The sequence below is a fragment of the Homo sapiens genome, chromosome 12 (genome assembly GCF_000001405.40).
Source record: "Homo sapiens chromosome 12, GRCh38.p14 Primary Assembly".
Taxonomy (NCBI): Eukaryota; Metazoa; Chordata; class Mammalia; order Primates; family Hominidae; genus Homo; species Homo sapiens.
Window position 1 is genome coordinate 107708919 of NC_000012.12, and position 25817 is coordinate 107734735.

Sequence of the window (25817 nt, forward strand, 5' to 3'; positions counted from 1 at the left end):
TTTCTAGGCCAGTACAGATGACGGCTTTGTATATAATTTGGATGCACGTTCAGATAAGCCAATTTTTACACTTAATGCACACAATGATGAAATCTCTGGTGAGCAAGAGTAATGCTTCTTTCATTTTTCTTAACTTATGATGAAGTAAATCTGTATTTCAAAGCGAAAGTGTCTAAACTTATCTTCCTTTAGGTCTTGATCTTAGCAGTCAAATCAAGGGCTGTCTCGTGACTGCTTCAGCTGACAAATACGTGAAGATCTGGGACATCTTAGGAGATAGGCCAAGTCTAGTTCATTCTAGGGACATGAAAATGGTAAGAATCTCCCTGGGTATCTGTTTTTTATTTATTCTGTTTCTGACCTTGTCTTTTTCTGGAACTTGTGTTGCGTGTTTTTCTGTTGGAACTATTGCATTAACAAATATGGATGTGTTGGGGAAGTGAATTTTGAGTTTAGTCAAATTTGGTGGGATTTTATGACTTAGAACGCTTTGTGGGGAATTCAGTGACTGGTTCTTTTCCAACTCACATGATTAACAGTTGCTTGGTAAGGCTGGGGAGAGGGTTTTCTAGGACACAAGTGAAATGGCTGCTTTTTTTTTTTTTTTTTAAAACCCTGAAATCAAGACCATCCCAAGAAATCTTGAACCTCAGGGCACCGTAGCTATTAGGGTCAGTTTATGTATCTTTATCTCTTTGCATAACTAGTTCTGACTACACTGAAACAAATTACTATATAGTAGGAAAAATTTAGAAATAACCAGATTCACTCAAGAAATATTTACTGAGCACCTACTGTATGCCAACCACTGAGTTATATAAGTTAGACTGCAGACACAGTAACACTGCACAGCTGTTGAAAATTGTGTATGAATAAATATATATAAATATAATGGAAAAACAGGTTACAGAAGCAATTTTTGTAGTACCATCTCATGCTTATTTTTAAGTGCATAATTGCCTAAATGCTTACATTTAACTCTAGTAGATTATATCCCAGAACATAAACCGTGGTTACCTCCCTGAGAGATTTTCATATATTTTTCTTGTTCATATTTTCTATAACAAATATATATTACCTATTAATAAAAATGTAAAAAAGAAAACAAAGTTTAAAAATGATTTAAACTGGCATCATTGTTATTGTTTAAAAGGACAGCTAAAGTTTCTGGAAATACATGGCACATTAGGTTTGTTAGGAAATCCCTAAGAGACAGAGTGATAACGAAGATGAGTGGCCTGAGTGGTCAGAAGTTGCAGATATCATTGTGGAAGAACCAGCATGCTGCGCTTGTCTGGCTTCATATTGTAGTACTAGCCCTTCTGACTTGACTCTGAGCTACCTTTGCAGTAGGCTTGAAAGTGAGAATCATAAGTTGGTTTTGAATAACCATTTAAATCATAGATTCTTAGAGACAACAGTGAGGATCTAGATATTAGCGCTTTCTGAAGAGATTGAAATCACCATCTTCCTGTTCTCTCTCTAGGGAGTTCTCTTCTGTTCTTCATGTTGCCCTGATTTGCCATTTATTTATGCCTTTGGAGGTCAAAAAGAAGGGCTTCGGGTCTGGGATATAAGCACAGTCTCTTCAGGTAAGGATTTTTAGTTCTCTGCACACCTCCCCCTGCCCCTGTAAAAAAAAAAAAAAAAAAAAAGACAGGGTCTCACCATGTTGCCCAGGCTGGTCTCAAACTCCTGGCCTCAAGCAATCCTTGGTCCTCAGCCTTCTGTATAGCTGGGATTACAGGTGTGAGCCATCATGCTGGCCTCTCCTCTTTCTGAATGAGTTCTGTAAGGACTGACACAGAATGTGTGACTTGAATTGTTTCTCAGCATTTTGGCTAAGACCAAGTGCAGAATGTGTGTCCTGACTACATCAGGAAGATAGCAAAAGTAGTGTAGTCTTTTTAGGAAAGAGACAAGATCAGATGTAATTGGTAATGTTTGTTCATGTTCACAAATAAGTTTGTCTTCACACTTTTAAGTGTAGATCATTTAAGGCCGAGACCAGCTCGGTTGGGGAGACCCTAACCCAGTGGCGCTAGAGGAATTAAAGACACACACACAGAAATATAGAGATGTGAAGTGGGAAATCAGGGGTCTCACAGCCTTCAGAGCAGACAGCCCCGAACAGAGATTTACCCACATATTTATTAACACCAAACTAGTCTTTAGCATTGTTTCTATAGGTATTAAATTAACTAAAAGTATCCCTTATGGGAAACGAGGGATAGGCCGGATTAAAGGAATGGGTTAGGCTAGTTAACTGCAGCAGGAACATGCCCTTAAGACACAGATCGAGATCGCTCATGCTATTGTTTGTGGCTTAAGAATGCCTTTAAGCAGTTTTCCACCTTGGGCAGGCCAGGCGTTCCTTGCCCTCATTCGTAAACCCACAACCTTCCAGCTTGGGCGTTAGGGCCATTATGAACATGTTACGGTGCTGAAGAGATTTTGTTTATGGCCAGATTTTGGGGGGCTTGTTCCCAGCAATTTAACAAATACATATCTTAAAATTGAAAGATCTTTGGGGAAAGCTGGAAAGAAATATAGCATGGTCTCAACAAACAGCCCTCTCCCCCACAGTTACCAGTGTGAATAAATCCACCGTTTGCTCAACTATAAAATTCTACAAAATCCAACTTTCCGGAAGGGGCCACTCCTCTCCCTTCAGGGGATCCTGGCTGCTTATTTATTACTTTGAGGTAGTCTGGTGCGTTCTACAAACACAGAGATAATATATATATCTCCCCACTGTATGATTCCTGCATCCTCCCTCCCATGCAAAACAAGGATCCTGAGATTTTTCTCTGGGTTATTCTGATGTGTGTGAGTCCTAAGTCCGAAAAGTTCTGTGCCGGTTATGATCAGAGAAAAGTGAAAGAAAAAAATAGGAAGCAATCAGAAGTAGAATAAGGCCAGGAGAGGGTCACTTATAAGGAATGGGACATTTGTTACCAAGGCGGATCAGATAAATCCAAGACATGGCAAAGAAAGTAAAGTACAAAAATAAATTGGACCATTTAAAAAAATAATTCACTTCATTCAGAACATTAACTTGGACTTCTGAGTTGGTTACTCACTTTACCATTTATAAAGTACTAAGTGCACAATTCTGCATTTTAGTGTCTTTTTATATTCTGACTTAATTTCCTGATCTGTTAGTTTCTTACCTGTTTATTTGTATTTTAGTAAATGAAGCATTTGGAAGACGAGAGAGGCTTGTTCTTGGGAGTGCAAGAAATTCATCTATTAGTGGCCCTTTTGGCAGCAGGAGCTCAGATACACCCATGGAGTCTTAATGAAGATCATCTAATTTCCTGCTTACCTTAACTGGGAATTTTAAAAAGTTGGCCTAAAAATGTTCCATGCGTGGCAGCAACCATGCAGAGTGACTGAAACACAATTCATTTCTGACTGACATTCCTTTCTGCAACTGCGGTGGCACCACAAATATCCGGTCTTTGTGCTTGCTCTTCAGATGGATGGTTTGTAAGGCTCTTGTTGCATTTCTTAAAAAAGAGTAATAAAAAGGATTTTTAAAAAGTAATTCCTTAAACATACCATCTGTCACAGTTAATCTAGATTTGTAAATAGGTAGTAATTTATAGAATTTTTAAAGCGTAAAATCCGGTAATATTAAAAGATAGGTAAACCTAGGCCTGGAAAGGCTGTTATTTGGCTAAAATTGCACAGGAGGCCATGAACAGAGGCAAGTGCCCCAGAGACTCCACTTTCATTCCTAACTGTTCTCAAATTAATGCTCATGATTGAGTATTCTCAGTGCAACTCGTAGAGTTTGATAAGTAAAAGTTACATGCCCCTGTTTTCCTAGCATGATATTCACTGTTATCAAAGACAAGAGGCAGACCATTCATTCATTCTCAAAACACTGAATGCCATTCTGTGCCTAGTGCTATACAAGGCATGGGAGATTCAGTGTGAATAAGTCTTTGCTCTCCACCTAACAAGGGACAGTTTTAATTATAGATTGTCTTCCTATTAAGTATGAGTTTTAGTAGGCATTAAAAATCGTAATTAGTTTGATAATATGAGACCCAACCCTAACTTGCCAGAAGAGTAATCAGTTCATGAACCATTGATATTTCCTGTATATTTCATGAATGTGACTTCAGTCATTCTAGTGTTAATACTGTGGAATGTCATTGGTGTAGCAACGTGGGTTCACCAAAACACCTTTTTATACAAAAGACAGATGTGTGAATTAAAGAGATTAAAGGATAGAGTATTCTGTTTCTTTGTTTTGATTTGGCTTTTAGGTATTAAAATAAGGCCCAGATCACTAAAAATTAGTAACAGAGGGAGACCTCTAATAGATTTAAAGTCAGTTAATTCTCTCTGAAATTTGATGTTTTCTTCTATAAAGAATAACTCTAAAATAGGCATCTTCCCAGGACTTTCCATTCTCAGGAAAAGACCTAGTTACGTATAAAAAATAACTTCTACTGCTTTATGTAGTCATATAGGTCTGCCTAAAATAAGAATTTGTATTTAATAAATACCAAAATTTTCAAATGGTAAATGGGTTGACACCTCTGTTTCCAACTTGAAAGTGCTAGTGCGATGAATGCTAAGCATGGGGTGTTTTCTGAGCCAAAAGAATGTGCCTCTGAAGTAGCTGGTTAGAGCAGATCTGAGCACCTGGGACCAGAAGAGTGCTGGCCGGGACCTGCAGTTACTGCTAAAAGACAGTGCAGGCAGTGGGTAAGACATCTGAGTAGACAGGCAATAGGGGTAGTCAAGCTGTGGGAACTAGGTAAGATGGGGATTAAAATCCAAGCCCAGATTATAAATGTAAAAGGAGGCTCGATTGTGTCATACTGACTGAGGAAAGGGTTCCACATCACTTCCCACCGTGGGTACATTTTGCACCTAAGTGTGGGTAGATCTGAGCCCAAAGATGTGTGGCTTAGAATGCCTGTCTACCATAGAAAGTGGGGGAATGACAGGTAACATTTTCACCACTGGTAGTTTGTTGGTGACTGGTGTTTTCATTACATAGCACATGGAAATGCCATGGAGCCAAACATATTTGTCAAAGTGAAAACCCGATACTAACTTTTAAACAATTTTACCCAGATGGCTGGGCACGGTGGCTCAAGCCTGTAATCCCAGCACTTTGGGAGGCCAAGGTGGGCAGGTCACCCGAGGTCAGGAGTCCAAGACCAGCCTGGCCAACATGGTAAAACCCCGCCTCAACTAAAAATACAAAAATTAGCTGGGCATGGTGGTGGGTGCCTGTTAATCCCAGCTACTTGGGAGACTGACGCAGGAGGATCAGTTGAACCTGGGAGGCGGAGATTGCAGTGAGCCAAGACCATGCCATTGCACTCCAGCCTGGGCAACAGGAGTGAAACTCCGTCTCAAAAAATAATTACCCAGATGTAGGCAGGTGCCAGCTAATTATATCTGGGAATTCAGATTCTGCAAAACCCACTGTTTATAAAGTAGAAATATCAACTTCTATGATACTATATTCTATGAGCATTATACAGGTAGAACTTAAAGGCCTCAATTTTTCAGGACAACCCAAACTACATCTTATGAAGCTCTTTTCAGTAAAGGTGGTATATGAAATGTATGCTATACTCTTACATACTCTTTTAGGTGGAGGAGGTTTTTGTTTGTTTTTTGTTTTTGTTTTTTTAGACTGAGTGTTGAGTTGCCCAGGCTGGAGTGCAATGGCATGGTCTCGGCTCACTGCAACCTCCGCCTCCCGGGTTCGAATGATTCTCCTGTCTCAGCCTCCTGAGTAGCTGGGATTACAGGCATGTGCCACCATGCCCAGCTAATTTTTGTATTTTTAGTGGAGATGGGGCTTCACCATGTTGGCCAGGCTGGTCTCAAACTCCTGACCTCAGGTGATCGCCTGCCTCGCCTCCCAGAGTGCTGGGATTACAGGCATGAGCCACCGTGCCCAGCCAAGGGAGGTCTTTTCAAAGTAAGTACTTTTAAAACATCCTGTCAGAACAAATAGCCAGATTTTGTTTCAAAAACAACTTGTTTCATACTTCCATTTCTAGATGTGACAGTATAGCTTAAGCAAAAGCTGAACAGGAGGCATGCAACATCTATTTGAAGGCACTGAAGTGCTTCTAAGGCAGCCAGGACTTGAGGGCAAAGATCCTGGGAGAAGGGATGTGCAGAGAATTAACCCCATGTGATGATGCTGATTTTCTTAGGCATTTACCAATTTTTTGTTGTACAAGGTAAGAAAACTGAGAAAAGCAGCAGAGCAAAAACAAAAATTGAACTTGATTTCAAAAAGGAAGGTCTCTAAAAACACTCCAAGCTCTGCCACTGTGACCCCTCAAAGGCTATACCCCAAAAGTTGAGATAAACCAGTAGAGCTAACCTTAGGAATCTGAAGCCCAGCCTTGAGTAAGCTCAGTTTTTGACTGGATTGAGGTGTCCCTGCTCTACTTTGACAGAGGACAGGGTGAATCCTCCCTGGAAGAGGATAATTTCATCCACAGCTTCTATAGTTTTTCATACACAATCTCTAGCATTCCAGCAAAGATTTCTAAGCATACTAAGAAATAGCACCATGAGAAAGATAGACCTGTAATAAATTCACACATTGGACTTATGTTGGACATGAACTTTGAAATAGGCAGGATTGGTAAATGTAAGAAAAAACAAGATTGAATATATCATCAAGGAATTGGAATCTATAAAGAATTAAATGAGAACTCTAGAACTTAAGAGAATTTTATATATGAGACTAACACATTAGAGTTGAAGAAGGATTAGTGAATGTGAGGGTAGGTCAATGGGAAATATCCACACTAAAATACAAAGAGTTAAACATATATATAAAAATGTATAAGATGCATCAGGCATGGTACAAAAGTCTAACATATGTGTAATTGGAATCAGACTAGGATGAGGGAGAGCAATAGCCAAAAAGATTATGGCCAAAGTTAAACACAAGTGTATGAACCTGAAACTACTCCTTGGTATATATCCAGGAGAAACAAAACATGTCCTTACAGAGACTTATATGCAGATGTTCAGCAGCAGTGTCATTCTTAACAGCCCCAAAGTGGAAACAATCCAAATATTCATCAGTGGGTGAATGAATAAACAAAATGTGGGATAACCATAAAATGGATTTCTGTTCTGTGATAAAAGGGAATGAACTAATACATATGGCAACACAGATGAACCTTTAAGACATGCTAAATGAGAGAAGTTGGACATGAGGCCATATATAATTCCATTTATATGAGGTTTTCAGAGGAAAAGGCAAATCCATACATACAGTACCTTAATCATTTCCTGGGATTGGGAATGAGAATAGAGTGTGACTGCAAATGAGCAAAAAGGATCTTTTTGGGTGGTGGAAGTGATTTAAAGTAGGATTGTGGTGATGGTTGCACTATTTTGAATATCCTAAAAACCAATGGATTGTACACTTAAAATGGGTGAATTTTATGGTAAGTAAAATACTTTCTTTAAAAAGATGAAGACACTGGCTGAGCATGATGGCTCACACCTTTAATTCCAGAATTTTGGGGGGCCAAAGTAAGCAGATTGTTTGAGCCTGGGAGTTCAAGACCAGCCTGGGCAAAACCCCATTTCTATAAAAAATCTCTATAAAAAATACAAAAATTACCTGGTTGTGGTGGCGCTCACCTGTAGTCCCAGCTACTTCAGAAGCTGAGGTGGGAGGACTGCTTGAGCATGGGAAGTGGAGGTTGCAGTGAGCCAAGATCACACCATTGCACTCCAGCCTGGGCAACAAAGTAAGACCCTGTCTCAAACAACAATAATAATAATAATAAAGTTACGCTAAACTTAGGCAGAATGAAAACGATCCCAGATAGGAATACAGACATGCAAGAAGGAATAATGGTCAACATGGGTAAATTTAAGTGAATATTACCACAGAAAACAGTAATAATAATGTTGTATAGGGCTTAAAATGTCTGGAAGATTAAAATGCCTGACAAAAGGCTAGAAGGAGACAAATAGAGTTAAGGTATTCTAAGATCTCAGCATTGTTTTGGAAGGCATAAAAGTATCACTATTACACTCTAATAAATCAAGGATGCATGTTGTAATCTCTAGGTGAACTACTAAAAGAGACATAAGTCCAATGTGTGAATTTATTACAGGTCTATCTTTCTCATGGTGCTATTTCTTAGTATGCTTAGAAATTTTTGCTGGAATGCTAGAGATTGTGTATGAAAAAAGCCAAAAGGGGAGAAAGTGAATAATACTTGATTAATTCAAAAGAAGCAAGGAGGCCAGGCACAATGGCTGATGCTTGTAATCCCAGCACTTTGGGAGGCCAAGGTGAGTCAATCACCTGAGGTCAGGAGTTCGAGACCAGCCTGGCCAACATGGTGAAACCCCATCTCTACCAAAAATACAAAAATGAGCTGGGTGTGGTAGCATGTGCCTGTAATCCCAGCTACTCGGGAGGCTGAGGCAGGAGAACTGCTTTAACCCAGGAGGCAGAGGTTGCAGTGAGCCAAGATCATGCCATGCACTCCAGCCTGGGTAACAAAGTGAGACCCTGTCCCCGCCCCCCCAAAAAGAAAAGTTAGAAAAAGACCAGCAATTTAAACCCCAAAATGTGGACAGAAGGAAATAACAGAGTAGAAATTAATGTCATATACAACAAATACAATATAGAAAATCATCAAAGAAAAAATGGATTATTTACAATACTAAAAGTTGATAAACCAATAGCAATAGTGAACATAATACAAATTATTAACATCAGACTTGAAAAGGAGGACATCACTACAAACCCTATAGACACTAAACGGTAAGAAGATATGAAAAATTTTTTGTGATTAAATTTGAAAATGTATATTAAATAGACAAATTCCTAGAAAAACATAACTTATGAAAACTGATAATAGAAGAAATAGAAAATTTGAATATTGAAGCATGCTTCTTATTCATTTACAACAGACATGTTTAGCTAGGTCAAAGAAACAGAGTTTGGCTCCATGACTGCCCTGAAATAATTTCTTCTCTCTGTAGTCATAGAGTTACACAGTGAAAAACCAGAAAAGAGTCTGATCCTGCAGGTTACTGATACACAAGATAAGTTGAATTCACTGCTTCAGCAGGTTTCTTAAATAACAATTAGATTATTTTGGAAGAAAGAATGCAAACCCAAAAAGTAGAATGGTGATATCTGAGAACATTACAATGACCAAGTACCCAAAACCCAAAGATCTGCCAACAGAAGTAGCTCCTCCCCTATCTAATGAGAATGGTTCTGATTTTCTTGAATATCTTGTAATGACCACACCTCAGGTAGTTATCTTCTAAAATAGTCCCCATTCTCTTCATTTACCACTCCTACCACCTCTTATTTCTTCTGACCTATGACAAGGTGAAACACCAAATTCTCTATAATTCCAAAGTCAAACCTTGGAAAAGAAAGTTTACATATTAACAGAATTGTAAGAATTTCCTAATGTATTGGCAAAATCTTAAGGAATATGTGTCAGCAAGATTCTGAGGATTCTAGACCAGGGAAGGAGAAACACAGTTTAAACTGTGTTTATTGATATGGATAACATTTAATTGCAGGTGATCATGGGTGATAATCTAACCCATGTCCCAGCCATGCATGCCAGGTACAATTCTGTCTCCCCTCCTCTAACAGTAACTAGATCCTCACTGCCTTGAAACCAGCCAGGTCAGATAAGTAGTTCAAGATGTCATTTCCTTAAGGATCTGTTGTCTGTACTATTTTCAGACAACTCCTCTAGCTAGTTTAAGCAAAAAGAATTTTTTGAGCAATATAGATCACTCATGGAATCACTCACTGAAAAGGCTGACAAAATGGAGTCTAAGCTGAGTTCTAGGAATGACTCCTAATCCCATACCACAGACATGAACTCACAAGGTGCATCTGCTGCTTCTATGGTCAACAAGTCACCTACCACATCAGAAAGCCTCCATCCACCATCACCACCAGCTCTAAAACCACACCACACTGGTAATATCCAAGCCTGCACAGTAGATACCTCAGGCCCTGCTTCTCTCCCTGCGTAATTCAGTTCTGAATCTAAGTCTCACATGAGTGCATCTAATTAGAGGAATTTTAGTTTTGCTTGGAATCTCAGCTCTGAAGGGATCTGGAAAACAGTTTTTGGCTTTCCAGAATCTACAGTAAGGAAAGCATGATAAAGGGGATTGACATCTACAGCATGCCCCTTGTATAATTCACGTTAATATATAGCTAGGGATAGATAATAAATGATCAGACAACAGGCTTTTTAACAATATGTCTTGGAGATATTCCTGTGTTAGTACATATGGTTTAACCTCATCCTTTTTAATGACAGCATTGTATTGCTTAGTATGGGTGTGCCATGATTTCTCCAACATTTCCTTTCTGGAAAACACTTAGATTTTTTCCATCTTCACTTAAAAATACTGGTGTATTTTTCTATCCTCACCACACATCCATAAGAAAGGACTAGGATCCTGTACATAATTTTTTTTACATATGTATGAGCATTTCCATAAGATTTCTAAAAGTGAAATTACTGAATCAAAGGGTATATAATTCCTAAATTTGTTTGGACATTGCCGAATTACCTTTGAAAATAGTTTTTGCCAATTAATACTTCCAACTAAAAAATTTCCTCTCTTCCCCTAAGCGGCCTGGGGTGATCTGTGAAAATGGTTCTCTAGTCACTTGACCCAGGAAACCCCACAAAATCATGCAAATCAAGAGGTTCAAATCTTCATGTTCACTAAGAACACTCGTGAAACTGGCCAGGCCATCAAGGGTATGCATATATGAAAAGCCACCAACCCTAAAGATGTCACTTTACAGAAGCAGTGTGTTCCATTCCGAGGTTACAGTGGTGGACTTGGTAGGTGTGCCCCTGCCAAGTAGTGGGGCTGGACACAGGGTTGGTGGCCCCCAAAACAGTGCTGAACTTTTGCTGCACATGCTTAAAAATACAGAGAGGAATGCTGAGCTTAACAGCTTAGATGTAGATTCTCTGGTCACTGAGTATATCCAAGTGAACAAAGCACCTAAGATGCACCACAGGACTTACTAGAGCTCATGGTCAGATTAAGCCATACATGAGCTCTTTGAGATGATTCTCACTGAAAAGGAACAAATCCAAAACCAGAAAAGGAGGCTTCCTGGAAGCAAAAGATATCCCAGAAGAAAGTGAAGAAACAAAAACTTATGGCATGGGAATAAATTTAGCGAAAAAGAAAGTAATTAAAACTTTTTTTTTTTTTAAAGCGTTTCCTTTCCCTTAAACCTAGGTTAGGACTTCTAAATCTTTGCGGCTTTATGGCCAAAAACAATACAATTGCACTTTCTTATTACTCATGAGGTGGAGTATGTTTTCATGTTCTATTGTCTATTGTATTTCTTTTTTCTTTGATGGCTTGCCTGTTTATATCTTTTGCTGTTTTGTGCTTTTAAAAATTAATCTGTAGGTGTTTTTTTCTATTCTGCTTGTTAGTCATGTTTTTCTCCAGTATATCACTGGGGTCTTAATTTTGGTCATAAATTTAGGTCTTGTTTAGGAAAGCCTTCCCCACCCCAGCATTTAAAAAATAATTGGTGAATTTTTTACATTTATCTCTTTAAATTCATCTGGAATTTACTTGTGTGTAGTCTGAGGTAAAAATATAATGTTTTACCAAACGGATAGCAAATTGTTCCAATACTGTTAATTGAATAGTCCATTCTTTCTCTACTGGTTGAAATGCCAACTTTATATTATATACAATATATTTATATCTATATACCTTATTCTGGACTTTCCATTCTGTACTAGTGAGTTATTTCCTATGCCAATAACAATTATTATTTTTTATTTTACTTTAAGTTCTGGGATACATGTGCCGAATGTGCAGGTTTGTTACATAGGTAAACATGTGCCATGGTGGTTTGCTGCACCAATTAACCCGTCATCTAGGTTTTAAGCCCCGCATGCATTCGGTATTTCTAACAATTATTTTAATTACTATAGCCTTAATATTTTGGTTCCCAACAGGACAAGTTCCCCTCATAGTTCATCATTCCCCAAAAAATTCCTGGCTATTCTCTTATGCTTTCTTTTTCAAATGAATTTGAAGTTGTCAAGCTCCATAAAAATCCTTTTAAGATATTGAATGGCATGTTATTGAATTTATAGTTATAAAAGAATAATTTAATAATTGTATACTATGGAATCTTTCCATTTAGGTTCATGGGTCACCTTTCCACTTAATGTTCTTTTACATCTTTTTTTTTTTTTTTTTTTTTTTTTTTTGGAGATGGAGTCTCGCTCTGTCACCCAGGATGGAGTGCAGTGGAGTGATCTTGGCTCACTGAGACCTCCACACCTCCTTGGTTCAAGCAATTCCCCTGCCTCAGCCTCCCGAGTAGCTAGGATTACAGGCACATGACACCACGCACAGCTAATTTTTTTGTATTTTTAGTAGAGAAGGGGTTTCACCATGTTGGCCAGAGTGGTCTCAAACTCCTGACCTCAGGCAATCTGCCAGCCTCCGCCTCCCAAAGAGACAGGATCTCAACTCTGGAGCCCAGGCTGAAGTACAGTGGTGCAATCATAGCTCAATGCAGCCTTAAATTCCTGGCTCATGCAATCCTTCACCTCAGCCTCTGGAGTAGCTAGGACTACAGGTGCGCACCACCACACCCAGCTAATGTTTAAAGTTTTTGTTGAAACAAGGTCTTACTATGTTAACCAGACTGGTCTCGAATTCCTCAAGCAATTCTCCTGCCTCAGTTTCCCAAAGTGTTGGGATTACAGGTATGAACCACAGCACCCATTCTATCTTTCAAATGAAGTTTATTCTCTTTTCATATAGACTTTGCTAGTTGTTGGATTTATTCCTAGGTTTATATGATTTTAATACTAAGGTGGATAGGACACTTTTCTCATATTTTGCAGTTTGTTATGCCTAATATACAGAAGAGCTATGAAAATGTGTATGCTCTCTTTGTACTGGGCACCTTGTTAAACTCTCAGTTCTTACAGTTTTTCAGTTAATTTTCTTGATAATTGTCTTCAAAAAGGGAAAGTTTATCTGTCTTATTTCCTTGACTAGGATCTTTGGTACAATGTGGAATACAGTTGTGGAGAGGACAACATTGTCATGTCCCTTTAATGGAACTATATATGTCTAATAGTTTACCACTTTGTGGATTGTTCACTGGTGGTTTTGGTTTTTTGTGTATTTTTGTTTGTCTTTTTTTGAGATGGAATCTCGTTCTATTGCCAGGCTGGAGTGCAGTGGCGCGATCTCGGCTCACTGCAACTTCTGCCTCCCGGGTTCAAGCAATTCTCCTGCCTCGGCGGCCTGAGTAGCTGGGACTACAGATGTACACCACCATGCCCAGCTAATTTTTGTATTTTTAGTAGAGACAGGGTTTCACCATGTTGGCCAGGATGGTCTTGATCTCTTGACCTCGTGATCCACCCACCTTGGCCTCCCAAAATGCTGGGATTATAGGCATGAGCAGCCGCATCCAGCCAGTTCACTGGTTTTTTAAAAATTTATTTGTTTTAATTTGCCTTTTTATTTTTTTGAGACGGAGTCTCGCTCTGTTGCCAGGCTGTGACATTTCTGATAAACTTTTAACATTCAAATTATCATGCTTTTCCTTTTATATGGAAAACTTTACTCCTTTTTCTCTGGCTAACTTGTATTCATCCTTTAAAGTTCAGTTTAAATGTCATTTCCTGAGTAGGGGGGTTCCAAGATGGCCGAATAGGAACAGCTCCAGTCTACAGCTCCCAGCATGAGCAACACAGAAAACGGGTGATTTCTGCATTTCCAACTGAGCTTTGAAGAGAGTGGTGGTTCTCCCAGCAAGGAGTGAGATCTGAGAACGGACAGACTGCCTCCTCAAGTGGGTCCCTGACCCCCGAGTAGCCTAACTGGGAGGCATCCCCCAGTAAAAGCAGACTGACACCTCACATGGCCAGGTACCCCTCTGAGACGAAACTTCCAGAAGAACGATCAGGCAGCAACATTTGCTGTTCAGCAATATTCGCTGTTCTGCAGCCTCTGCTGCTGATACCCAGGCAAACAGGGTCTGGAGTGGACCTCCAGCAATCTCCAACAGACCTGCAGCTGAGGGTCCTGACTGTTAGAAGGAAAACTAACAAACAGAAAGGACATCCACACCAAAACCCCATCTGTATGTCACCATGATCAAAGACCAAAGGTAGATAAAACCACCAAGATGGGGAAAAAACAAAAGTCAGAATGCCTCTCCCGCTCCAAAGGAACGCAGCTCCTCGCCAGCAACAGAACAAAGCTGGACAGAGAATGACTTTGACGAGTTGAGAGAAGGCTTCAGACAATCAAACTTCTCCGAGCTAAAGAAGGAAGTTCGAACCCATCGCAAGGAAGCTAAAAACCTTTAAAAAAAGATTAGACGAATGGCTAACTAGAATAACCAGTGTAGAGAAGTCCTTAAATGACCTGATGGAGCTGAAAACCATGGCACAAGAAGTATGTGACGAATGCACAAGCTTCAGTAGCCAATTTGATTAACTGGAAGAAACAGTATCAGTGATTGAAGATCAAATGAATGAAATGAAGCAAGAAGAGAAGTTTAGAGAAAAGAGAGTAAAAAGAAACAAACAAAGCCTCCAAGAAATATGGGACTATGTGAAAAGACCAAATCTACGTCTGACTGGTGTACCTGAGAGTGACAGGGAGAATGGAACCAAGTTGGAAAACACTCTGCAGGATATTATCGAGGAGAACTTCCCCAACCTAGCAAGGCAGGCCAACATTCAAATTCAGGAAATACCGAGAATGCCACAAAGATACTCCGCGAGAAGAGCAACTCCAAGACACATAATTGTCAGATTCACCAAAGTTGAAATGAAGGGAAAAATGTTAAGGGCAGCCAGAGAGAAAGGTTGGGTTACCCACAAAGGGAAGCCCCTCAGACTAACAGCGGAACTCTTGGCAGAAACTCTATAAGCCAGAAGAGAGTAGGGGCCAATATTCAACATTCTTAAAGAAAAGAATTTTCAACCCAGAATTTCATAACCAGCCAAACTAAGCTTCATAAGTGAAGGAGAAATAAAATCCTTTACAGACAAGCCAATGCTGAGAGATTCTGTCACCACCAGGCCTGCCCTACAAGAGCTCCTGAAGGAAGCATGAAACATGGAAAGGAACTGGTACCAGCCACTGCAAAAACATGCCAAATTGTAAAGACCATCCCTGCTAGGAAGAAACTGCATCAACTAACGAGCAAAATAACCAGATAACATCATAATGACATGATCAAATTCACACATAACAATATTAACCTTAAATGTAAATGGGCTAAATGCTCCAATTAAAAGACACAGACCGGCAAATTGGATAGAGTCAAGACCCATCAGTGTGCTGTATTCAGGAGACCCATCTCACGTGCAGAGACACAGATAGGCTCAAAATAAAGGGATGGAGGAAGATCTACCAAGCAAATGGAAAACAAAAAAAAGACAGGGGTTGCAATCCTAGTCCCTGATAAAACAGACTTTAAACCAACAAAGATCAAAAGAGACAAAGAAGGTCATTACATAATGGTAAAGGGATCAATTCAACAAGAAGAGCTAACTATCATAAATATATATGCACCCAATACAGGAGCACCCAGATTCATAAAGCAAGTCCTTAGAGACCTACAAAGAGACTTAGACTCCCACACAATAATAATGGGAGATTTTAACACCCCACTGTCAACATTAGACAGATCAATGAGACAGAAAGTTAACAAGGATAGCCAGGAATTGAACTCAGCTCTGCACCAAGCGGACCTAACAGACATCTGCAGAACTCTCCACCCCAAATCAACAGAATATACATTCTTCGCAGCACCACATCACACTTATTCTAAAATTGACCACATAGTTGGAAGTAAAGCACTCTTCAGCAAATGTAAAAGAACAGAAATTATAACAAACTGTCTCTCAGACCACAGTGCAATCAAACTAGAACTCAGGATTAAGAAACTCACTCAAAACCGCTCAACTACATGGAAACTGAACAACCTGCTCCTGAATGACTACTGGGTACATAATGAAATGAAGGCAGAAATAAAGATGTTCTTTGAAACCAATGAGAACAAAGACACAACATACCAGAATCTCTGGGACACATTTAAAGCAGTGTATAGAGGGAAATTTATAGCATTTAAAGCAGTGTGTAGAGGGAAATTTATAGCACTAAATGCCCAAAACAGAAAGCAGGAAAGATCTAAAATTGACACCCTAACATCACAATTAAAAGAACTAGAGAAGCAAGAGCAAACACATTCAAAAGCTAGCAGAAGGCAAGAAATAACTAAGATCAGAGCAGAACTGAAGGAGATAGAGACACAAAAAACCCTTCAGAAAATCAATGAATCCAGGAGCTGGTTTTTTGAAAAGATCAACAAAATTGATAGACCGCTAGCAAGACTAATAAAGAAGAAAAGAGAGAAGAATCAAATAGACGCAATAAAAAATGATAAAGGGGATATCACCACCGATCCCACAGAAATACAAACTACCATCAGAGAATACTATAAACACGTCTATGCAAATAAACTAGAAAATCTAGAAGAAATGGATAAATTCCTCGACACATACACCCTCCCAAGACTAAACCAGGAAGAAGTTGAATCTCTGAATAGACCAGTAACAGGCTCTGAAATTGAGGCAATAATTAATAGCTTACCAACCAAAAAAAGTCCAGGACCAGACGGATTCACAGCCGATTTCTACCAGAGGTACAAGGAGGAGCTGGTACCATTCTTCTGAAACTATTCCAATCAATAGAAAAAGAGGGAATCCTCCCTAACTCATTTTATGAGGCCAGCATCATCCTGATACCAAAGCCTGGCAGAGACACAACAAAAAAAGAGAATTTTAGACCAATATCCCTGAAGAACATCGATGCAAAAATCCTCAATAAAATACTGGCAAACCGAATCCAGTAGCACATCGAAAAGCTTATCCACCATGATCAAGTGGGCTTCATCCCTGGGATGCAAGGCTGGTTCAACATACGCAAATCAATAAACGTAATCCAGCATATAAACAGAACCAAAGACAAAAACCACATGATTATCTCAATAGATGCAGAAAAGGCCTTTGACAAAATTCAATAGCCCTTCATGCTAAAAACTCTCAGTAAATTAGGTATTGATGGGACATATCTCAAAATAATAAGAGCTATTTATGACAAACCCACAGACAATATCATACTGAATGGGCAAAAACTGGAAGCACTCCCTTTGAAAACTGGCACAAGACAGGGATGCCCTCTCTCACCACTCCTATTCAACACAGTGTTGGAAGTTCTGGCCAGGGCAATCAGGCAGGAGAAAGAAATAAAGGGTATTCAATTAGGAAAAGAGGAAGTCAAATTGTCCCTGTTTGCAGATGACATGATTGTATATCTAGAAAACCCCACTGTCTCAGCCCAGAATCTCCTTAAGCTGATAAGCAACTTCAGCAAAGTCTCAGGATACAAAATCAATGTGCAAAAATCACAAGCATTCTTATACACCAATAATAGACAGAGAGCCAAATCATGAGTGAACTCCCATTCACAGCTGCTTCAAAGAGAATAAAATACCTAGGAATCCAACTTACAAGGGATGTGAAGGACCTCTTCAAGGAGAACTACAAACCACTGCTCAACGAAATAAAAGAGGACACAAACAAATGGAAGAACATTCCATGCTCAAGGATAGGAAGAATCAATATCGTGAACACGGCGTTACTGCCCAAGGTAATTTATAGATTCAATGCCATCCCCATCAAGCTACCAATGACTTTCTTCACAGAATTGGAAACAACTACTTTAAAGTTCCTATAGAACCAAAAAAGAGCCCACATTGCCAAGTCAATCCTAAGCCAAAAGAACAAAGGTGGAGGCATCATGCTACCTGACTTCAAACTATACTACAAGGCTACAGTAACCAAAACAGCATGGTACTGACACCAAAACAGAGATATAGACCAATGGAACAGAACAGAGCCCTCAGAAATAATACCACACATCTACAACCATCTGATCTTTGACAAACCTGACAAAAACAAGAAATGGGGAAAGGATTCCCTATTTAATAAATGGTGCTGGGAAAACTAGCTAGCCATATGTAGAAAGCTGAAACTGGGTCCCTTCCTTACAGCTTATACAAAAATTAATTCCAGATGGATTAAAGACTTAAATGTTAGACATAAAACCACAAAAATCCTAGAATAAAACCTAGGCAATACCATTCAGGACATAGGCATGGGCAAGGACTTCATGTCTAAAACACCAAAAGCAATGGCAACAAAAGCCAAAATTGGCAAATGGGATCTAATTAAACTAAAGAGCTTTTGCACAGCAAAAGAAACTACCATCAGAGTGAACAGGCAACCTACAGAATGGGAAAAAGTTTCTGCAATCTACTCATCTGACAAAGGGCTAATATCCAGACTCTACAATGAACTCAAACAAATTTACAAGAAAAAAACAAACAACCCCATCAACAAGTGGGCAAAGGATATGAACAGACACTTCTAAAAAGAAGACATTTATGCAGCCAACAAACACATGAAAAAATATCATCACTGGCCATCAGAGAAATGCAAATCAAAACCACAATGAGATACCATCTCACACCAGTGAGAATGGTGATCATTAAAACGTCAGGAAACAACAGGTGCTGGACAGGATGTGGAGAAATAGGAACACTTTTACACTGTTGGTGGGACTGTAAACTAGTTCAACCATTGTGGAAGACAGTGTGGTGATTCCTCAAGGATCTAGAACTAAAAATACCATTTGACCCAGCCATCCCATTACTGGGTATATACCCAAAGGATTATAAATCATGCTGCTATAAAGACACATGCACACGTATGTTTATTGCAGCACTATTCACAATAGCAAAGACTTGGAACCAACCCAAATGTCCATCAATGATAGACTAGATTAAGAAAATGTGGCACATATACACCATGGAATACTATGCAGCCATAAAAAAGGGTGAGTTCCTGTCCTTTGTAGGGACATGGATGAAGATGCAAATCATCATTCTCAGCAAACTATCACAAGGACAGAAAACCAAACACTGCATGTTCTCACTCATAGATGGGAACTGAACAATGAGAACACTTGGACACAGGAAGGGGAACATCACACACCAGGGCCTGTCATGGGGTGGGGGGAGGGGGGAGGGATAGCATTAGTAGATATACCTAATGTAAATGACAAGTTAATGGGTGCAGCACACCAACATGGCACATGTATACATATGTAACAAACCTGCACGTTGTGCACATGTACCCTAGAACTTAAAAGTATAATTTAAAAAAAAAGTGTCATTTCCTTTGAGAAGCCTCCCCTCATCTCTGTAGCCTGCATAAGATACCCCTGCTGTGTTAGAATGTAATTTGTCTTACTCCTTTTAAAATTTTGTAATTACTTATTTAGTAGTCTCCCTCATTAGATTTTTTTTTTTCTTTTTCAAACGCAGTCTCGTTGCCTTGCCCAGACTGGAGTGCAGTGGAGTGGTCTTGGCTCACTGGAGCCTCCACTTCCTGGGCTTCAGCGATTCTCCTGCCTCAGCCTCCTGACTAGCTGGATTACAGGCATATGCCACCACACCTGGCTAATTTTTGTATTTTTAGTAGAGATGGGGTTTCACCATGTTGGCCAAGCCGATCTTGAAATCCTGGCCTCAAGAAATCCACCCGCCTCGGCCTCCCAAATTGCTGGGATTACAGGTGTGAGCCACCGTGCCCAACCCCTTGTTAGATTTAGTATGAAGTAATAGGATTTTGCTTTTTGTGTTACAAAAATCTAGCTAACTGGGATGCCTTACCACTTGATATATTCAGAATGTCTTTTCCCAGCATTCATAGCAAGCAACCATACATACATAGTCTCAGGGCATTTCTCAAGTCTTACTAATCAATTTAAAAAACTTGATTATTATCAACCACCAAAATGAGAGTACTGAGCCACCCAAGCTAGATGACTTTTCCGTAATCATGCTAATAACTCTATGCCACAGAATACAGTAGAAAAAGCATCGAATGCAGAGCTAGGAGGCCTTACTTTCCAATCTCACACTTCAGTAACTGCATTAACTTCTGGGACATTCTGTGGCCTCGGTAAAACAAAGATATTAAAACCTACCCTACAAGGTTGTTATTGTGAAGTTAAAGCACTTAACTTATAATAAACTTACTTAAGTTACTCGAGTTCTCTTCCTTTCTTTCGAATGGTTACTTCTCAGCTTAAAATCAAATTTCCTGGTCACAAGCCATTGCTTTTCCTTAAATACACACTTCTCCAGCCCTTAAAGTCTAACGTGTTCCTTTCCCAAAGAAACAAACAATGCTGGATGAATAGACCATCCTGCTTTTCTCTTGCTATGAAACATACTATTTGCACACTGGCACGGTGGGAATTTTAGATGCAACGTAGCCTGGCTCCCTTTCTTTTTGCTACAGCACATCTGGGTCAGGCATCTTGAATAAGTCCCTTAACAGAATATTATGTCATCTCACATGCTTTTGAATAATTCACTTGTCATAACTGAGTGGTAGTTGGCTCTAATCAACTAAGAGCAATGACCCACAAAGGTGTTCTATGCTTATAAAAAACAGATTCCACAACCCCAGTGCAAATATGCAACTAAGTGTAAGCAGCAGTGTGATGCATCCTGAAATGAGGTGTGTCAGAACAACAGCAGCGTCTAAATAATGTTTCACGTAGATTAACATGGAAGAGAGCCCTGGAAGAGAAATACAGGCATTTTTAAAAAGTGCTCCCAGGCAGCCAATCAGTGAATATGAAATGCAACAAACTGGTTTTTTTTTTTTGTTTTTTTTGAGATAGAGCCTTGCTTTGTTGCCCAGGCTGGAGTGCAGTGTCACAATCTTGGCTCATTGCAACCTCCGCCTGCTGGGTTCAAGTGATTCTCCTGCCTCAGCCTCCTGAGTAGCTGGAATTTACAGGCTCCCACCACCATGCCCAGCTAATTTTTGTATTTTTAGTAGAGACAGGGTTTCACCATGTTGGCCAGGCTGGTCTGGAACTCCTGACTTCAAGTGATCCACCTGCCTCCCAAAGTGCTGGGATTACAGGTGTGAAAAGTGTAATTTTTCTGAACTTCATTTTCAACATCTAGACAACTGAGGGTAAAGCCTACTTTTATAATGCCCTATGAGGAGTAAAACTATAAATTAAAATGTACTACCACTAGAAAGCATATTTGCAAGCAAATGTGTCACAAGGTCCTAGGCAGTGCTAGCTAAGAGGGGCCAGAAGTTGTGTCTATTAACCAATTAACAGATCATTCAAGAAGTAAAATTTCCCAAAGTAAGTGACTTTCACCTTAGGTGATTTTTCTTTCCCAAATCTGGCCCTAAACTGATCTTGATGCTTGCCCAACCCCAAAGCCCATGCCCAGCCTGAGCCTCAGCAAGTATGTAGCAGCACAAGATGTGCTGCAGGGTGAGGAGGCAGGTGCTGGGGGCAGAAAACACAAAGAACAAAGCATGCTTTCCATGTGCTCCCTAACTTGTGGATATAAATATGCATTGTCTAAATGGAATAGTTTAGAGTTTATGTGATTTCCTTTAAAGACTTGTAGCCTGGGCCAGGCACGGTGGCGCATGCCTGTAATCCCAGCACTTTGGAAAGCGGAGGCAGGCAGATCACCTGTATCCAAAGGCAGGAGCAGAGCCCTAGTTATTTTTCTGTTCCCCCTACAATGCCTTAAAGTGTACCAGCACTTAATAAATGGTTTTTGAAAAGACCACTCTCCTTGTCTGAGGACTACACAGGCCTGAGTGCCTAATGATCCTCAGTGTGCATATGCAAGAAAAGCTAAGGAGCAAAAAAGCTGTTAAGGAGTGGTTTCACCCCTTTCAGTAGTAGGGAAATTTGCTGGCGGCAATATACACCACTAGAAATGGTGCCTGCCTTTATATTGCTCATGCTAATCTGTAAAGCTGGGGTTAAACTGAAGTCACTATACTGGAAGCTGCTCCCCTTTAAGCAATCATTATCAAGAACGTATATCTGGTTAGACTGTTTAGTTTGCCAGGGCTGCCACAACAAATTGCCATGGACCGGGAAGACTAAACAGAAATGTATTGTTTCCCAGTTCTGGAGGCTGGAAGTCTGAGATCAAAGCAATGGCAGGACTGTTCAGAGGGCTGTGAGGGAAGGACCTGTTCCAGGCCTCTTTCCTTGGGCTTGGAAATGTCTTCTCCCTGTTTTCACATCATCTTCCCTCTGTATAAGGCTTTGTCCAAATTTTCTTTTTCTAAGAACACCAGTCATATTGGGTTAGGTCCTAACTTAAGGACTTCATTTTAACTTAATTCCTTCTTTAAAAACCGTATCTCCAACTACAATCACATTTTGAGATTACTGGAGGTTAGGACTTCACCATATGAATCTGGTGGTGTTGGCAGGGGGCGGTGTGTTCACCTGTAACAGACCATAATCACTTGTGTATATGGAGATATGTCATTCCTTAGTGTGTGCCTCCAAGTTTGGTGATCAGATCATCAAGTTTACATACTTGATGAGGTGCTGACAGCCTCTGGCATGTTTATGCTTCTTGAGACACAGGTAAAGGAGTGTTTACTAGAAAGCGGGGACACAGGTCAAGCGTGAAAAGGCTGACGAAGACTCTACTTCCTGTTACCTCTTTGCCCTCTGAGAATCTCAGCACAACAAAAATGCCAGGATTATGAGCCACTGACCTTTTTGAGAAGGAAATGCCAAGCATACAGTGAGCTGCAAGAATACTCTGAACTAGTTTATAGGCTTTGGCCTTGAAAACTCAAATTATTCCAGTTTTATTTATATTACTAAAATCTAGAGCTTCTTGGATATTCTATATGTCAATTTTTTTTAGTGTAGAAACCTATGTTAAAATGAAAAATGTAGACTAATGGGAAACTAAAGAATATCAGCTACTGTTTATGTTGAGCACTGTGGGAGCCACTGACACGTATGAACTTAACATCTAAACAGTATAATGAAGCGGCGCTCTTAATACTCTCCATTTACAGTTAAGGGAAGAGGCATAGAGAGCTTACATAACTTGGCCAAGGTTACAAACCTTCATCACACAGCAAAGCCCACACTAGAGAACATTCTGCAGGGCTCCAGAGCCTACATACACATCCTGCCTCTCACCGTGACCATTTACTCAACAGCAGCAAGGCCACCCAAAATGGGCAGAAAAGGCTGAAAACATTCATGTCAAAGGGCACTTACTTATTTATTCATCTTGTGAAAATGACTTAGAATTTAAAATTAAGAGGTAAAAAAATGGAGAGACAGTTGTAAATACTAAGCACTAACAGCTACAACTTCACTAAAAAGGTTTCCAAGCTTCCTCTGCTGTTTGTGTTCCTCTGACACTAGGCGTAACTATCTTGGGCATCATTTCAGTCTTGGGAATGAAGGAAGTGAACCCAGTGTGTGCTACTGAGATAAAGGAAGAAAGGGAGCTTAGAGTCCCAGTACCAGTGGTTTCCTGGGTATGGGGGAACCAGCCAGCTGGATGCCTTTGGCAAAATGCTGAGTTTGAAGCTGCCCTAGGAACCAGAGCTGCCCTGAGGGAGGCGTCACGACCCAGTGTCAGCAGCCAACCCTAACCATCCGCAACACATCCCCCAACCCTCCACTGCAGACCTGCCACATTTCTCCAAGGAGGTAACAGAGTAAAGGCATACCTTAGGCAGGAACAGGGCAGAAGAGGGTTGGAAGCACAGGAAGCAGTTTGTCTTAAGTACTAACAGCAGAAACAATAAGAATATGATCTCAAAAGCTAAAATACTCTAGAAATGCTCTCTTCTTCTAACCTCAGAAAGATTCAAATTGTACTTGACTTTCCCTAGAAGACTCACTCATCTCCTTCCTCCATGAAATGAGACTACCAGAGGAATCCTGTATTTTAAAAAAGTTTAATTTTAATCCTTCCTAGAGGAATACAGATTTGAATGAAATACATTCATTCCATAAATACATTAGCAGCAAAACCTTCCCACCAGAGTCCTCTACTCCAGCCCAGAGGTTGTGCCTTGAGCAGGAGAGCATGTTCCATCAATCCTGTCAACTTAAGGGTGGGTCTGCTTCTGAGAAACGCTGGATGTGCATGGGAGACACAATGACCAGGTGCATGGGTGACTTAACTAAGCTGGGACCCTGAAAACAGGCCCATGTGGTCACTATTCAGCCTTCTTTACCTTCCAAAAATCCTTTGGCATCTTCCATGCTTCTCTGATGAGGTTCCTCAGCACTGAGACAACTGGGAAGACCTAACTTTGCACATGCATTAAATAATGTTATTTTGAGTTGGCAATGTTTTAACACTTTTCATAAGGTAAATGAAACATAAAAGATTATTCCCTTCCTTCCCTTCCTCAGGTGAGTCCACATGTACTCATCAGGAGACAATCCAGCAGGCATTATTTGGGCTCTCTGTATCTCCAGGCCCCCTTTGTCTGAATGGCTGGATGTTTACTGGAGACAGGGAGCCATGTCTAAACCTACAAAGATCTCCACGTTACAATAACCAGGTGACTTGCTCAGGCTTCCATCAAAGCTAATTTCTTGGGCAGAGGCCAGGCATCTCTCCTCTTGTTCTCTCCATCACTGACTACTGACTGACTGCTGCTTTTTTATTTGCCCTCCAGGCACCTGCCGAAACTTTGGAAAACAAGATCTACCCTAAACTTCCAAGTGGCCAGGAGCAGTTAAGGCAGGTCCTGCTTTAAACTTACTAGCTGCCAAGTAGCACACTTATGCTGCTGTGTCCCAATCCATTCTGTGGTGAGTATAAGTCACAAGAGTCTGCATAAAACACTATCAGCAATCAGGATGGCTATGGGGCAAGGACCGTTTAGAATGTTACCAAGTCACAGGACCAGCAGGAAAATGGAATAATGGAAGAATGTGAAATAAATCTGATTTGTTTGAGCAGAAGGCAGCTTTGATTCAGGCATAAATGCATCTCCCAGATTATCATGTAAATAAAGACCTCAGAAGTTGACACTTCCCTCCCAGTCCACCACTTAAAACAGGACACATGCTCAGTTTTCCCAATCTGTTTTAAAGTGTTTTCATTAGGATACTCTTCTGTAAGTGCTTTATTCATTCCCAGTCTGTTTTGATTACTGGCTGAAAATAAATCAGGAACCATTTTATATAAAAACCATTATAGTAGATAACTGGTTATGTGTATTTTTCCATTTGCATTTTCATCCAAAATTGCTTGTTTCTTTTCCTTTTATTTATGTGCAGAAAGAGACTCATCCGCTGAATACACAGCACTGTTAATCCTACAGTCTTCTGTCCCCACAGAGTCTGCTAGATCTTCCTCTTCTGAGTCATCCTCTTCTTCCTCCTCTGGTGCTGACGAACTGGAGGTGGGCCCTTTGCAGGTTTTCAGGTGGCGGGTGAGATGGTATTTGGTTAGATAAGCCTTTGTACATTTTTCACAGACATAATCCCGTTTTCCTTCATGAGAATTGAGATGCTTCTTTAAGTGATTTGTTCTCAAGAACAGCTTATCACACTTGGGACACTTGATCTGGCGTTCTCTAAGAGGAACACAAGAAAAAACATTTGATTTGGGGTTACAAATAACAACTGAGGCAACACTTATTCTTCATAGCCGCAGGCCTTTGTCAGAGCAGCTCTATCCTTCTGAATCAGGCTTTTGCATAGGTGATATACAGAAGACTCATAAAACATGTATAGTTTAAAACAGTGTAGGCTCATTTTTCCTGTTTTAGAATACTATGTAAATTCTC

At 40.1% G+C, this 25817-nt stretch overlaps 2 protein-coding genes, 1 long non-coding RNA gene and 1 pseudogene across 6 annotated transcripts in view; 2 read left to right on the plus strand and 2 right to left on the minus strand.

The window, feature by feature from the left end:
* The window catches only part of PWP1 (PWP1 homolog, endonuclein), a 27364-nt gene extending 23120 nt beyond the window's left edge, over window positions 1–4244 (plus strand). For all 3 annotated transcript variants that reach the window (NM_001317963.2, NM_007062.3, NM_001317962.2), the window contains exons 12-15: window positions 8–98; window positions 193–314; window positions 1487–1592; window positions 3193–4244. In NM_001317963.2, the coding sequence (NP_001304892.1) occupies window positions 8–98; window positions 193–314; window positions 1487–1592; window positions 3193–3302 (429 nt within the window). In that variant the 3' untranslated portion in view covers window positions 3303–4244. The remainder of the gene's footprint in view (window positions 1–7; window positions 99–192; window positions 315–1486; window positions 1593–3192) is intronic.
* Window positions 3464–6484, minus strand: LOC124903010 (uncharacterized). The gene is made up of 2 exons (XR_007063446.1): window positions 6377–6484; window positions 3464–3512 (listed from the first exon to the last, which is right to left on the minus strand). It is a non-coding gene; the product is annotated as an uncharacterized LOC124903010 (long non-coding RNA).
* RPL17P38 (ribosomal protein L17 pseudogene 38) lies at window positions 10661–11245 on the plus strand (annotated as a pseudogene).
* The window catches only part of PRDM4 (PR/SET domain 4), a 28267-nt gene continuing 26402 nt past the window's right edge, over window positions 23953–25817 (minus strand). For both annotated transcript variants that reach the window (NM_012406.4, XM_005268593.2), the window contains exon 12: window positions 23953–25604. In NM_012406.4, the coding sequence (NP_036538.3) occupies window positions 25292–25604 (313 nt within the window). In that variant the 3' untranslated portion in view covers window positions 23953–25291. The remainder of the gene's footprint in view (window positions 25605–25817) is intronic.